The sequence below is a fragment of the Homo sapiens genome, chromosome 2 (assembly GCF_000001405.40).
Source record: "Homo sapiens chromosome 2, GRCh38.p14 Primary Assembly".
Taxonomy (NCBI): domain Eukaryota; kingdom Metazoa; phylum Chordata; class Mammalia; order Primates; family Hominidae; genus Homo; species Homo sapiens.
In genome coordinates, this window is record NC_000002.12 from 240211365 (window position 1) to 240224724 (window position 13360).

The window sequence follows — 13360 nt, forward strand, 5'->3', positions numbered from 1 at the left end:
AGAGGTGCCCTCGTCCTGGTTCTCCACCAAAGAGTTCAGGCCCCACTACAAAGCAGTGACTGTTCTGAAGATGAGAGACGAAGGGTTCCAAAGAGATGCAGAGAGGGGTGAGACCATGGTCCTGTGGGCCCAAGAATGCAGGGGACTCTGTCCTTAAAACTCCAGCAGGGGGTGTGGTGTGGGTCTCGCCTCTGCAGTGGTCTTCCCCACTGCCTGTTTTTCACCTTCTTTCCTGACTCAGGACCAGGCAAAGCCCTGGGGAGAGGAGAAAGGGGAGGAGCTGGTGCCTGTGCCCGGCTGTCAGGACACGAGAAGGGGCAGCAAGCAGGGCACCTGGCCCCAGCTCTGAGCAAGTTGTCCCCCCGCAAGCTGCCCAGGGGTGACGTGCACCTCCAGACAGGCTGACAGCTGTACTTGCACCTCCGGATAGGCTGACGGCCCTATGCCCTAGGTTCCAGAGTGTGGCAGAGATGGCTGGGTTGATTTTCCTGGAAGCGTTTCTGCTGACCCTGCTGAAATGGACAGGTGGAGTATGTTCAGCAGGCAGCCGCCCACCTCCCTCCCCAGGGCAGTAAGGCCAGGGCTGGGGAGGAGAGTCTTCCAGAAAGTCACGCGCGGCTGCACCCAGCCCAGGATGTGGCTGTGCCCTGCCGGGGGGGCTTCTCTGCAGGGCCCAGTTGGCTCTCCAGGGACCTTAGGTTCTGGAAAACAAGAGGGTCTCATGGGGTTCTGGAAAACAAGAGGTGGCTGGTGTGGATGGGGATGTCCTCCTGAGGCCCCACAGGAATAGCCCCCGGGTCACAGTGGGAAAAAGTAAGTCCCTCCCAAAGTGGCCACCCCAGGCAGCCTGGCCTGCCTCCTGGAGTGCCTTGGGTCAGGGGTCAACAAGCTGCTGCATCCCGAGAGCCAAACCTGGGCCCCCGTTTCTTGAGTATCTGCTTGAATGACCCTCCCCTTCCCTGCTCATCCCTGGGCCCAGGAGAAGCTTCATCATAGGCGGTTAAACTGCACCTGTGCTCGGTACTGAGCCACTCTCCAAGCCACACCTGCCTGGCCAGGGCCTGGAGCCTCAGCCAGCAGCCTCAGGCCCCAGTGTCAGGACCTCCCTTGGTCCTGCAGGGAGGCTGGGCCTTTCCTGGGGTGGGCCGCCCCTGAGGCGGGGGCTCCCATCCACCACAACCTGCACTTGGAAGCTCCAGAGGGGCAGCCACAGGGAAGCCGTGGGGTCTCTGCCCTTGGCTCCTGGACGATTCCGGATCTCCAGGCCAATGTGTCCAGCACGGCAGCCTCCCCACCCAGCCCCATGCCCTCGAGAGAATGACCTCGGATAAGCAGCGTTTCTCAGGGAAACCCCCAGGACACCCCCTGCTCTCCGAAGTTCTAGTCTTTCCCTTCACTCAGAGTAATGGATGTGTGTTTTCCTTAACAATTCCATTATTAAAAGAAGTTGTTCAGGGATCTCGCCCCAGAACAAAGCAAGCCCTCAGTGGGCCGTAGGGTAGCCTGCTGTCTCCCCCGGACAGGTGCACCGGAGCTCAGGGTGGACAAGGCTGGCTTGGTCACCAGGCCCAGGGGAGACGGTCAGCACCCTCTTAGCCGCACAGGAGGGGGGTAGGGAGAACGCTCCAACCTTACTCCCAGTCAACTGGAATCACCTGGCATGATTTCAGCTCACAGATTTAAAAAAACTGCCTGTGAGAATATTGTCCCTGTGTGAGGGGAGGGTCTTGCTATTCCTGGACCCAGTGTGTCCAAGGGAGGGAGAGTTGGGCCTCTGTCCCCCTGGGGTCCCCAGCTGCTAGGCAGCTGCACCTGGGATCCTGCCCACCAGGGAGTAGGAGGCTGCTCCCAGCTCTGTCTCCAGATCTGGGTCTAGTGCTGTGTCCGAGCCCTCTGCTCCCATAAGCCAAGGCCTATGGGGACTGGCCTAGGGTGAAGGAGCCTTAGTCCTTGAAATACCAGACCTCATTTTGAAACATGTGAAGGAGCTGCAGCAGAGAGCACTGGCTTGCGTCCCGGGAGGCGGCTGTACGTGGCCAGCATGCCTCACAGGAGGTAATGGCTGGTGTCACTGGCGTGGCTTAATGACAGAAGTCTGAGGTTTTACAGGACAAAAGGAATTGGGGTTCGTGCATCCAGATGTTTCCCCAACACATGCAGGGACTGTCAAGACCAGGAAGGGGGGACACAGAGAGCAGCAAAGGGGTCACTGGGAGTGGTAAAGGGGCCACTGGGGGTGGTTCTTCAGCCAGGCCCAGCCCCTCCAAGCCCCCCCAGCCCCTCTGAGCCTCTCCGGGGGGATCCTGGGGGCTCCTCTCCAGGCCACTGGATTTCCCAGCACCTGGCCCCATGGAGCCCGGGGCATGGTAAACCCGCTACACAGACCTGCCTGCAGCAGGGGCACCTGGGCTGCCTGCTTCTGACCTTGATGTGATTTGTTTCGATCAGCTGGTTGTTCACCATGCTGAGTCTGACTGAGCAGTCGGGAGGGCACAGAATTCCGCTTGGATAGTGATCAAGACGTAGCACAGGGCGCTCACTGTGTAAAAATGAATGCACCCCTCACAGGCTGCTTGCTGTGTAGACAGGAATACACCGCTCACGTGGGCGTTCACCAGTGCTGTGAGAGAGCAGGCAAGCACAGGATCCCGGGCCAGGCCACACGACCAGCTCCTTGAACGAACAGCCACTTCCCAGTCTTTCAACAGATAAGAACCCAGACATGACCTCTGGGGTACTGACCAGGGTATCCCTCAGAGCGGCCTGGCGCGGGCCTGCCATGCACGGAGGTGCTGTCTGCCTCTCATTAGCATTCAGTGAGTCCAGCTCCTGCTCTCCTCATCAGCATTCCAGCCATGCTGGCCAGCTCGGCCTGAGAGCAGGAGCCTGCCTGGAGATGTCCCCTCTCACCCAGCCTGAAGGCACTGCCTGCCCTTGCCTCGGGACACAGCCGCAGCTGGCTCCCATCTGCAGGGATGCTGGTGACCACCTAAAAGGAAGAGGCTGAGGCATAAAATGTAGCTGAAAGATTGACTTGAGCTGAGGTGAGGGCAGCTGCCTGGAAGACTCGGACTGAAGCAGCTTGGATAGGAGCCCTATTCGGCCTTTATTACAGGCAGGTTTTTAAAGACGAAAAAGGGGGACAGAGAGTTGTTTGTTGGGAATTCCCATTGGCTTACGGAAACCACATTGGTGAGTGATTGGCTATCCACTGTTCAGCTACAGGGCATGAGTTACAGCGTCCAGTGTGGCATTACTAGGTTACTTTACAGCTGCTGCAGCGGTCACAAGCAGCTTCAAGAGGTGGACACACAGCTCAAAGCGGGAGAGGATGTGACTGCTGTCTCATCTTAACGTCTTTCTGGGACTGACAGTGTCAAAAGACTACATTCCTTGGATAAAAGCTTTTTTCCTTTTCTCACTAGGCAGAGAGAGGCTGGCTGACCCCTGGCTGTGGCCTCCTGACTAGATACAGATGCGGAGCCCATGGTGGATCTGAGCCGGGACGGGCCTGGAGCTTCAAGCACGTCCTTGGGGAGGAACTCCAGGGTGCCCCCGGATATGAGAGAGGGCACTGCAGGGTCCTCGGAGGCCATGCAGCCCAGATCTGGCCTCACAGTCCACCAGCTGACTCGGGCACCTTCACTGCCTGACAAGATGGCTCCCAGCTTGCTTGCCGCCTCTGGCCGGGTCTCCAAGCACCAAGCTGGGGAAGCCGGGTTGCTGCTGGACTGTGAGCTCGGACAGTTAACCTGAACACGTGTTTCACAGCTGTGGCCCAGGAAACCATGGCCTCTGTCTGGTCTGGTTTGCAGCCGCTTCGGGCCCTGGGTGTGGGCCGGGCGCCCAGTTCATGCACAGCTGTGCAGCAGGTGGAAGGCCTGGTGGGAGCGTCAGTGTCTGGTACCCTGGTTCCCCGCAGACTCTTTCCAACTCAGTGTGCCGCCTTCCTGCGGGTCAGGACCCATGACTCTTGGAGAAAAGACCAACCCTCCCCCGGCAAGGCCTGGCAATCAGGCAGGCCAGGTCTCCCTCTGGGCTCCCATCCCGCAGGCTCTGGCCCTGCCCCTGGTCACTGCACCAGCCCATCCTTCGGCCTAGTCCCCTTCCCTCCTCCTAAGGACCAGGGCCCAGAATCCTGCCCCAGACCCTAAGCAGCTGCTCCTTCCCTTCCAGGACCACCCCAGTCCCCCACCATTATGTAACCCCTGAGTGTCCAGACGGAGCCCTGGTGGTCGAGTGCAGGTTCCAGAGTGTGATGTGGGTGCATCATTGTCAGAACCCCCAGTTCCCCTGCCTGAAAAACCAGGTGACAGTGATGCCACTCATGGCTATCAGCAAAGTAGCATGTCACGGCCTTGAGCCATCCCTGCCAGCTTCGATGGGAACATGGTCAGGGAATGGAGCCTGGCTGGGGCCTCCCTGGCCCTCGAGGAGAGGTCTTGGTTCTGGTCCGGAGCCCTTTGCTGGGGCAGGGGCAGCCCCGGGGAGGCCTCAGGCTGGCCCCAGGCACCCACCAGAGGCCCTCAAGACTGCCCTGAGTGAGGGGTGCACGGTGAGCTGGTCTGACCTCGGCTCCTCTGGGGAGGGAACCACACAGCAAGACCCTGTGCTCATGAAGAACAATCGTGCAGAACAGAAAGGAAGCTTCACATCACCAGAGAGGGCCAGAGCTGTATCCTGGGCCCGCCACTGACCAGGTGAGTCTCAGAGCTATCAGCTCCTCCTCAGGGGTCTGCCTCCTGACCTGAGAGGGCTGGGGGCTGGAGTGGGCATCCCTAAGGCAGGTCCTCTTGGGGTCTTGGCTGGGATCGGTTGAGCACAGCTCAGCCAGGTGGCATCAGATTCCCGTCTTCCTCTTGTAGCCCTGCCAGCCGGATCCCCACGCCTGTGGGGGGTCAGTCTACTCCAGACCAGAGACACGACCCAAGAAAAAGGGTACATAGGAAGCAGACGGCACTTTCCTCTGAAATGCGCCAACAGATTTACTAGGCAGGACAGCCTCAGCAGACACCCACGCTCACCTGCTGGGCTGCACTGCAACTGCCAGCCTCAGAGAGCTGCATGGTCCCTGTGCACCCCCACTTCACAGAGATGAGCAACCTCTCCACAGTCAGACACTGCCCTGCAGGGAGGCAGAAGTGGAGGTGCACAGAACAAGGGGGTCTTGAGGGGAGGGGAACAGTGCAGGAACCTGGGGAGCAGGGGGAGGTGGGAGAGCCAGGAAGTGGGACAGCTGGGCGTGGAGGTGGATGCAGGGTGAGGGGTGGGTGGGGTGGGGTGGAAGGATGGGGGTGGGGGTGGATGCAGGGTGAGGGGTGGGGGTGGGGTGGGGTGGAGAGAAAGGGGGTGGGGGTGGATGCAGGGTGGGGGTGGGGTGGGGTGGGGTGGAAGGATGGGGGTGGGGGTGGATGCAGGGTGAGGGGTGGGTGGGGTGGGGTGGAAGGATGGGGGTGGGGGTGGATGCAGGGTGAGGGGTGGGTGGGGTTGAGTGGAAGGATGGGGGTGGGGGTGGATGCAGGGTGAGGGGTGGGTGGGGTGGGGTGGAAGGATGGGGGTGGGGGTGGATGCAGGGTGAGGGGTGGGTGGGGTGGGGTGGAGGGACAGGGGTGGGGGTGGATGCAGGGTGAGGGGTGGGTGGGGTGGGGTGGAAGGATGGGGGTGGGGTGGATGCAGGGTGAGGGGTGGGTGGGGTGGGGTGGAGGGACGGGGTGTGGGTGGATGCAGGGTGAGGGGTGGGGGGGTGGAGGGACAGAGCATGGGGGTGCTGGGGCCCCTGGGTGAGGTGGCGCCTCCTGGCTGTGGAGTTCATGCTCCTAAGGGGAAGATGGAGGTTAGAGGCCTGGGGTTTTGAGGCTGTCTCTGCCAACAGAAACTCAGGCAAGCAGAGGTCAGGGTCAGGGCTAGGGCTTAGCTTTAAGGTTGGGATTTGAAGGAGGTCAGGAAAGAAAATGGGTGGGAGGGTGCAATGTTGTGCCATGGTATTTGGGTCACCAGGGGCTCTGAGCAAAGGCAGCCTCCATCTCCAAGGAGCACCAAGGACAGGACTCCAGGTGGGGCTGAACCCTTAGGAGACTGCAGTCAGACAGCAACTCTACTCACGCTCCACCCACCGTCCACCTCCACCGGCTCCACCCACCTCTACCAGCTCTGCCCATCTCCACCAGCTCAACCCACCCCTTTAGCTCCTCCTACCCCCACCAGCTCCGCCCACTCTTTCAGCTCCACCCACCTTCACCAGCTCCACCCACGCCCTCAGTCCCACTCACCTCCACCAACTCCACCCACCCCTTCAGCCCTGACCACCTCCACCAACTCCACCCACCCCTCAGCTCAGCTCACTTCCACCAGCTCAGCCCACCCCTTCAGCTCCACCCATCTCCACCATCTCCACCCACCATCAGCTGTACCCACTCTGCCTCCCCCACTTACCACTTTGGCTCCACCCACTTCTGCCAGCTCCACCCACCACCCACCTCTGCTCTGCAAACAGGTAGCATGCACCGCCTTTCCGCACCTGCTGTAGTCCAACCACACGGGCACTGGGCGGTGGCCTTGATCTCAGTCCCCGTTGCTCACGGGGTCTCAGATCCCACCTGTGAGGGGCTGTGCTGACCCGAGGCCCCTTCCAGGACCCGCGGGGTTCACAATTCAAGTGACTCAGGCCCTAGAAGGCTTGTACCATACAAGTGCAGGTTGACGCCCCATAGCAGGGCTCACAGCTTTGCGCTGTTCTAGATCCAGAATGGCAGCAGAGCTCATCCTACAGTAGGGGCTGCCGTGTGCTGGGGCATGTGCCTCGATGGATTAGTGATGTCCAGCACAGGCATGGGATGGGGACAGGTGGTGTGACTGGAGGGATCCCTCACCAGAGCTGGAAGCTCTTCTGAGACACCCTCCGCCATCCTCGCAGTTCTCTGCCCAGTGGGGTACTCAGGTGCACCTGTCAGGTGGCTTTTCCCAAAGCTCAGGCTGATCAGGATCTGTAAGCCCCACACTGCCAGGTGGTGACTTGCACAGGTTCTGTGTCTTTTCACTTGAGGAGGACACCAGGAGGGGGGCAAAATCTCAGGGGCTGTCCTCCACCCTCCAGCATAGCATGGATTTCCGGACCCCTCTCAGCACTCACCTCTACCCTGTTCTTTTGAAAAGAATAACTTGAAACAGGTTTATGCTCCATATCCTCTTCCTTCAGGTGATGTTGACTCCTGAGTTCTGTGAGTCACACATCAAAACCAGGCAGTGAAGATCACTGTTTCCTCCACTAAAATAAAACTTGATTGTTAGGAAGAGGCGCAGCTTCCCCTAGAGATCCCCAACCCGGTTGGGGTGTTTCCGCCAGCTCTTCCTTCATGGTTTACCTTTGAGTAAGGTGATGGAAACCTGCCTGCTCCAAGCTGCAAAATCAGTTCCGTAGACAGATAAACCCCGCAGAGGAAACACCCTTGGCCCCCGTGGTAGAAGACATGGATACATTCCTGCCTAGACAGAACATAAAAAATTAGATGCAGACATTTTCCCTGATTATTTTTGAATACTAGAAAAGCAAAACAATATTGAAATGCAGACTGCAACCTCCAAGGAAGGTGGATTTCAGCTTCTGGTGAGTCTATGCATAAAACCATACTCTCTAGCTCAGAATCCTGGTGGGGCAGCCCAAGGGTGGTTCGGAACCACAAGGGCCTGGCTCAAAGGTCCTTCTGCGTCACTCACTAAAGCACAAAACTTCAGGTGAGTGTCTTACCTTCTTTGAGGCTGTTTTTTCCTCAATCAAAAGGGGAAGGCTCATTTATTCCTTCATTCATTCAACAACAAATTGAACTTTCAGTGAGGGTGCAGTTAAGCCCCACTGGGCAGAAATACACAGAGCTCAGTCTTAAATGAGAACGTGTGCGACGCTCTTGGATCCTGCCTGGGCCACAGTGAGTGCCAGAATTCAGTATCTGATGTGGACCCGTTTCCTGGTTCATGGATGCTGTCTTCTCGCATCTCACATGGCAGAAGGGGTAAGGGGTCTGTCTTTACCTCTGTTGTAGGTCACTCAACGCCCGACGAGGGCTCCACATTCATGACCCAATCTGGGCCAATCATGACCCACTCTGACCTTTCCAAAAGGTTCCACCTCCCAAAACCATCACCCTGGGGGCTGGAATCTCAACATGGGAATTAAGGGGAACACATTCATACTGTAGCACCCTCATTCTGGATATTCCAGAGTTTGTTTAAGCAAATCCTTTTTTTATTGGACCTCCTTCTCATGTGTGCCCCACATTCAGCCCGGACTCCAATTTCCATGGAATCTGGCCTCCACAGGTGCTCTGCTCTGTCCCGTCTCCATTCCTGCCAACACCCCAGGTCGTCGCCGTCATCTCTTGCCTGATCTCTCCAGTGGCCTCCTCCCTGAACTCCTCGCTCCCATCCTCCCTGAACTCCTCGCTCCCATCCTCCCTCATCCGAGGAGCAGGCAGAGGTTACAGCAGCTGGTTGGTCTGTTTCCATCTTCAGCAAAGTAGACATGTATGTAGTTTAAAGAAGAAAACAGTTCTACAAGTCTTGTGAAAATGACAGTTCCTACCTCCCTTCCCCTAAATTCCATTGTGTTAGCAGGGCCCTTTTGCCATTTAACTCCTTATTTACCCTGCATACGTTGCTACTTCTTACTGACTGGTTTTAGGCATTCTCTCTAGATGTCCACTATGAAAGGTGAAGGACGCAGCTCTTCTGCACATGCCCCTCACATACACAGGTATGCTGTCACTCTCTCTTTCTCTCTCTCTCTCTCTCACACACACACACACACTCATGCACACACGCACACACGCACACTGCTCTCCTTCCATTCTCTCAATTTGGTCATTACTTGACTAGATCAGCACTTTGTTTCTTCGTTGTAAGACATGTAAATATTATTTCTAGTTGAGCCGTAGCATGTACGATGCTGTTTTCCTCTCTTGCACAACATTTTTGTTTGTGTTTTTCCTGGAGTTTGTGTGTGTTAGATTTTCTTTGTATATGTCACGAATTCAACCTCAAACTCTCCACCAGTTGTCTAAATTTTCATGCAAACCTCTCAGATATTGTATTAATTTCACCTTCTTGAAGGAATCTCCCTTGAGCCTTCTGGCCGCCCTCAGGGCAGGTCTTTTCCTGGCAATTCCCTTCCCTGTCTCCTGGAGATTCCCTTCACCCACTCCTGTCTAATTCTGCTGCTTCTCACTTCCTGACTCACTGTTGCTTTGCAGGAGCACCTCCTCCTACATTCACTGAGAGCTGGTATTTGAGAAGCATGTTTTTTTGAAAGAAGTTGCTTATCTGCAAATGTCTCGTTTTTTTTTTTTCAAGTTTGTTAAGAAAACTTTCAAATATTCAGTGAACACCCACTGAGATTCTACCAGAAACATTTTACTATATTTGCTTTCTCACGTATCTATCCACCTATCCAGCCCTCTAATTGTCCATTAACCCAGTTTATTAATTACAGACGTCAGCACACTTCCCCAAATGAAACACCTTAGCACACACAGCATTAACAAGATTTCAATATTAATAGTTTTCAGTGTAGTAAACTTACACATATTTTGTTAACTTTAATCTGAAGTCTTTTATATGTTTGATCCTACTGTAAATGGATTTTTAAATTTTCATTTTCCAATTGTTTGCTGCTAGTTTATTTAAAAAACTATTTTTGCCCAATGACTTTATATCCTTTGAGTCTGCTAAATTCACTGTGTAGCTTGATTGATTGTTTTGTATATTTCTTAAGATTTTCTATATAAGCAATCATGTTGTTTGTGAACAAAGGCAACTTTATTTCCTTTTGGAGCTTAATGACTTTTATTTTTCTTTCTTAACTTACTGCAATGGCTAGGACCCTTGTTACAATGTTGGATTGAAGTGACGAGAAAAGTCATCTTGTTTTGTTCCCAATCTTAGTGGGAAAGTATTTAATTGTTCACTCACTATTAAGTAGCTAATTATTCACTCCCTAGTAAGTATGGCTTTTTTGTAATTTTTTTAAATCAGATTGATGTTCCTTTCTCTTCCTAGTTTGTTCAGGGTTTTTATCATTAATATGGGTTGAATTTTGTCAAATGCTTTTTTAGCATCTATTGAAAAGATCATTTGTTTTTTCTGCTTTATTTTGCAGTATTGTATTGCTTGATTTCTACATGTTAAGCCATTTCAATTACATTATATTTTCATGTATATATGTGAAACATATTTATAATATATACATATATATTTTTTGGGGTTAGATTTGCTAATATTTTACAGAGTATTTTTTAATGTACATGTGTAGATGTATTTATATGTAGATACATATACATATTTGTTTATATAAATTATTTATAAATATAGATAATATAAATATATAATATATCTAGATTAAATTTACTAATACTTTGTAGAATATTTAAAAAATTTTTCATGAGAAATATTGGTCTAAAATTGTCTCTTTTTTGTGACATCTTTGCCAGGTTATGGCACTAGGATTATGCTGGCCTTGTTAGGGTTAGGGTTAGGGTTAGGGTTAGGGTTAGTTCAGAAGCTTCCTTCCTCCTGTATTTTCAAAGAATTTGTGTCAACCTGGTGCTATCTTATCTCTAAACTTATTTTTAATTTACTGATGAAAGCATATAGTCCTGAAGATGTTTTCATAGAAAGGTTCTTAAAAATAAATATATTTATTAAGTATATAGCCATTCATATTTTCTGTTTTATCATGCATTAGCTTTGGTAAGTCATATTTCAAGAAATCTATTTTATCTAAGTCAAGTTTATAGGCATAAAGGTATTCATACAAATCTCTAGATAGTCTTTTAATGTCTATAGCATCTGTAGTGCTGCTTCCTCATTCCTCAAATCGGCAATTTATATTCTTTTTTGCTTGCTTGATTACTTGATTTTTTTTATTAGTCTAGCTGGGAAGTTTATCAATTTTGTTCATCTAGTCAAGGAATCAATCTTGGGCTTTGTTACTTTTCTGTAATGTGTACATCATATTTTATCGATTTCTGCTCTTGTCTTTGTTATTTCCTTCTACTTATTCTCAGTTAATTTACTTCCTTTCTTGTTTCTTTCCTTCCTTTCTTCCTTCTTTCCTTCCTCTCTTCCTTTCTTTTCTTTCCTTCCTTTTTCCTTTCTTTCTTCTTTTTCCCTTTCTCCTTTCTCCTTTCCTTTCCTTTCCTTGACAGGGTCACCCAGGCTGGAGTGCAGTAGCAGCCTCAAACTCCTAGGCTGAAGCAATCCTCCTGCCTTTGCTTCCCAAACTGCTGAGATTACAGGTGTGAACTACCTTACCCGGCCTCTATTTTCTTAAGGGGAAAGCTGAGGCCATTATTTGATACCTTTTTTTCTTTTCTAATACAGGCATCTGGGCTATATACATTCTGTCTTCTTATCATTCAGCTCAGAATACTTTTTAATTTTCCTTCTGAGTTTTTCTTTGACCCATGGATTATTAAGAAGTGTATTATTTAGTTTCCAAACCTTTGGAGATTTTCTATCAGAGTTGTGTCCACCCTGCATAGTGCTGTCTTTGGCCTGCCCTCAGCATAAATGCTAGAAAAACAAGCAAAAACAAAACTTCCCCTTCTCTAGGCTCTGCTTGCTCATTTGTTTATTTATGTATTTAACTTTCCAGTGCCTTCAAATTTTGGGGATTTTTTCTTTTGCCTTATTTCCAGAGTTTGTTAGTGTTTTCTTTTTTCCCTTTATTAGCAGGAAGATTGAGTCCAGCAGCAGCATCTTCAGCCATGCCAGACTCAGGAGGCTACAACGCCAATGGCTTGGCTAAATATATCTTTCTAGCTTGCAGATAGTTTTCCCTCGGCCTTGTGAAGGCATGGCTCCTTTGATAACTTCTAAGGTTGCCATTGAGACACGTGAAATCATCCTAATTCCCAGTTGTTTGTTTGTGATCTGAAGCTTCTAGGTGCCTTGCTTTGCCCGCCATTGTGAAACCTCAGCTCATAAGCCTTGACGTGAATATATTTTCACCGACTGTGCTGGATACTTTGGGAACTTTTCATCTGGAAACCGCTACCTTTCCACTCTGGGGACTTTCTGGAGTTACTTCTTTTGTTTCCTCACCCCTACTTTCCCAGGGGTACAGTACCCAGCCCCTCTCCTGCTGTAAGAATGTCACCATGCTCTCTCCTCCATGTTCTTTGTAGTTGTGAGTTTATGCCATCTGAAAAATCTCTTTACTGTCATTTCACGGGGTTTCAGAAGGGAGAAGAAGGAAGAAAGTAAATGTATGTGCTAAATCTGTCATTTCTACCCAGATGACTCCATTCTTAGGGTAATTTTTCTCCAAGGCACATCTCCTGTCTCTCCGACCTGGTCAGAGCAACTTCCCACCTCGGCACCCTCCTTCCTTGGTGATGTGGCCTCCGCCAGCCCCTCTGGTGCGAAATCACATGAACCTGCATAGACGCTGGCTTGGCCACACCATGCCTCTGAGTTTTGGTGTCTCTGCCCCTGTGCCTGGAACACTCACTCCTCTGTCTGGTTAGTTCCTTCTGGTCTGTAAAACTCAACTTGAGTAGCACCTCCATGAAGACTTCCAGGACCCCCCACCGGATTTTTAAGCCCCTCTGTGTGGTCCCAAAGCACCCTGGGCAGTTTCCCATCAGAGCTTTGGCCACGTTGCCCTGCAGTCTCTCATCTCTCTGTCTGCCCTGTAGACATAGCTTGGCACACAGCAGGTGCTCAGTAAATGAATGAATAAATAAATCTGGAAAATGGGAGGTCAAAAACAACATGTCTTATTGTATGCGAGACATTCTGTGATGAGCATTGTGGTATGAAGGATACACTTTTATGGGAAACCATCTTGGGGAATCATGTGAAAGCACCTATATATCCTGGTCCAGCTCAAGGCTCGAGGTCTTGGCTGTGTCTCTGCTACCCGAGGGTAGGGCGTGTCTCTGGTGCCTCACTTTGGGATGTGCAGACAGTAGGACTTCAACTAATGCTTGTGAGCAAAGCAGAAAGAGGTGAACTGCTCATCTGCTCTGCTTCCTCCGTGTAACTCTGGGAAAATCATCTTATCCCCGTCAAAGGAAGGAGATGAGAAATAGTGCTTCTTGTTCTTTCTCAGCAAGGATCATGCAGAGGTGTATAAAGAAATCACCCCCGAGCTCCTCCTCCCTCATCCATCCTCTCCAGGGATAATCATTTTTTTCATTGCTTATTCTTCCTCACGTCTCTCTGTGTTCATAAAAGATGAACGCACGCCTTTCTCTACATAGGTGTTGTTTTTTATCAAAATGGACCCCCTCTGAACACATGAGTTAGCACCTTGCTACCACAAGCACTTTCAAAATTAAACTTTCCTGTAAGTCTGGGGATTATT

The 13360-nt window shown here is 51.3% G+C and overlaps 1 long non-coding RNA gene across 1 annotated transcript; it reads right to left on the reverse strand.

Annotated features, from left to right (window-relative positions):
* Positions 1 to 37: 37 nt before the first annotated feature.
* Positions 38 to 7539, reverse strand: LOC107985836 (uncharacterized). Its single transcript, XR_001739238.1, has 3 exons — positions 7362 to 7539; positions 7130 to 7264; positions 38 to 255 (listed from the first exon to the last, which is right to left on the reverse strand). It is a non-coding gene; the product is annotated as an uncharacterized LOC107985836 (long non-coding RNA).
* Positions 7540 to 13360: the final 5821 nt, after the last annotated feature.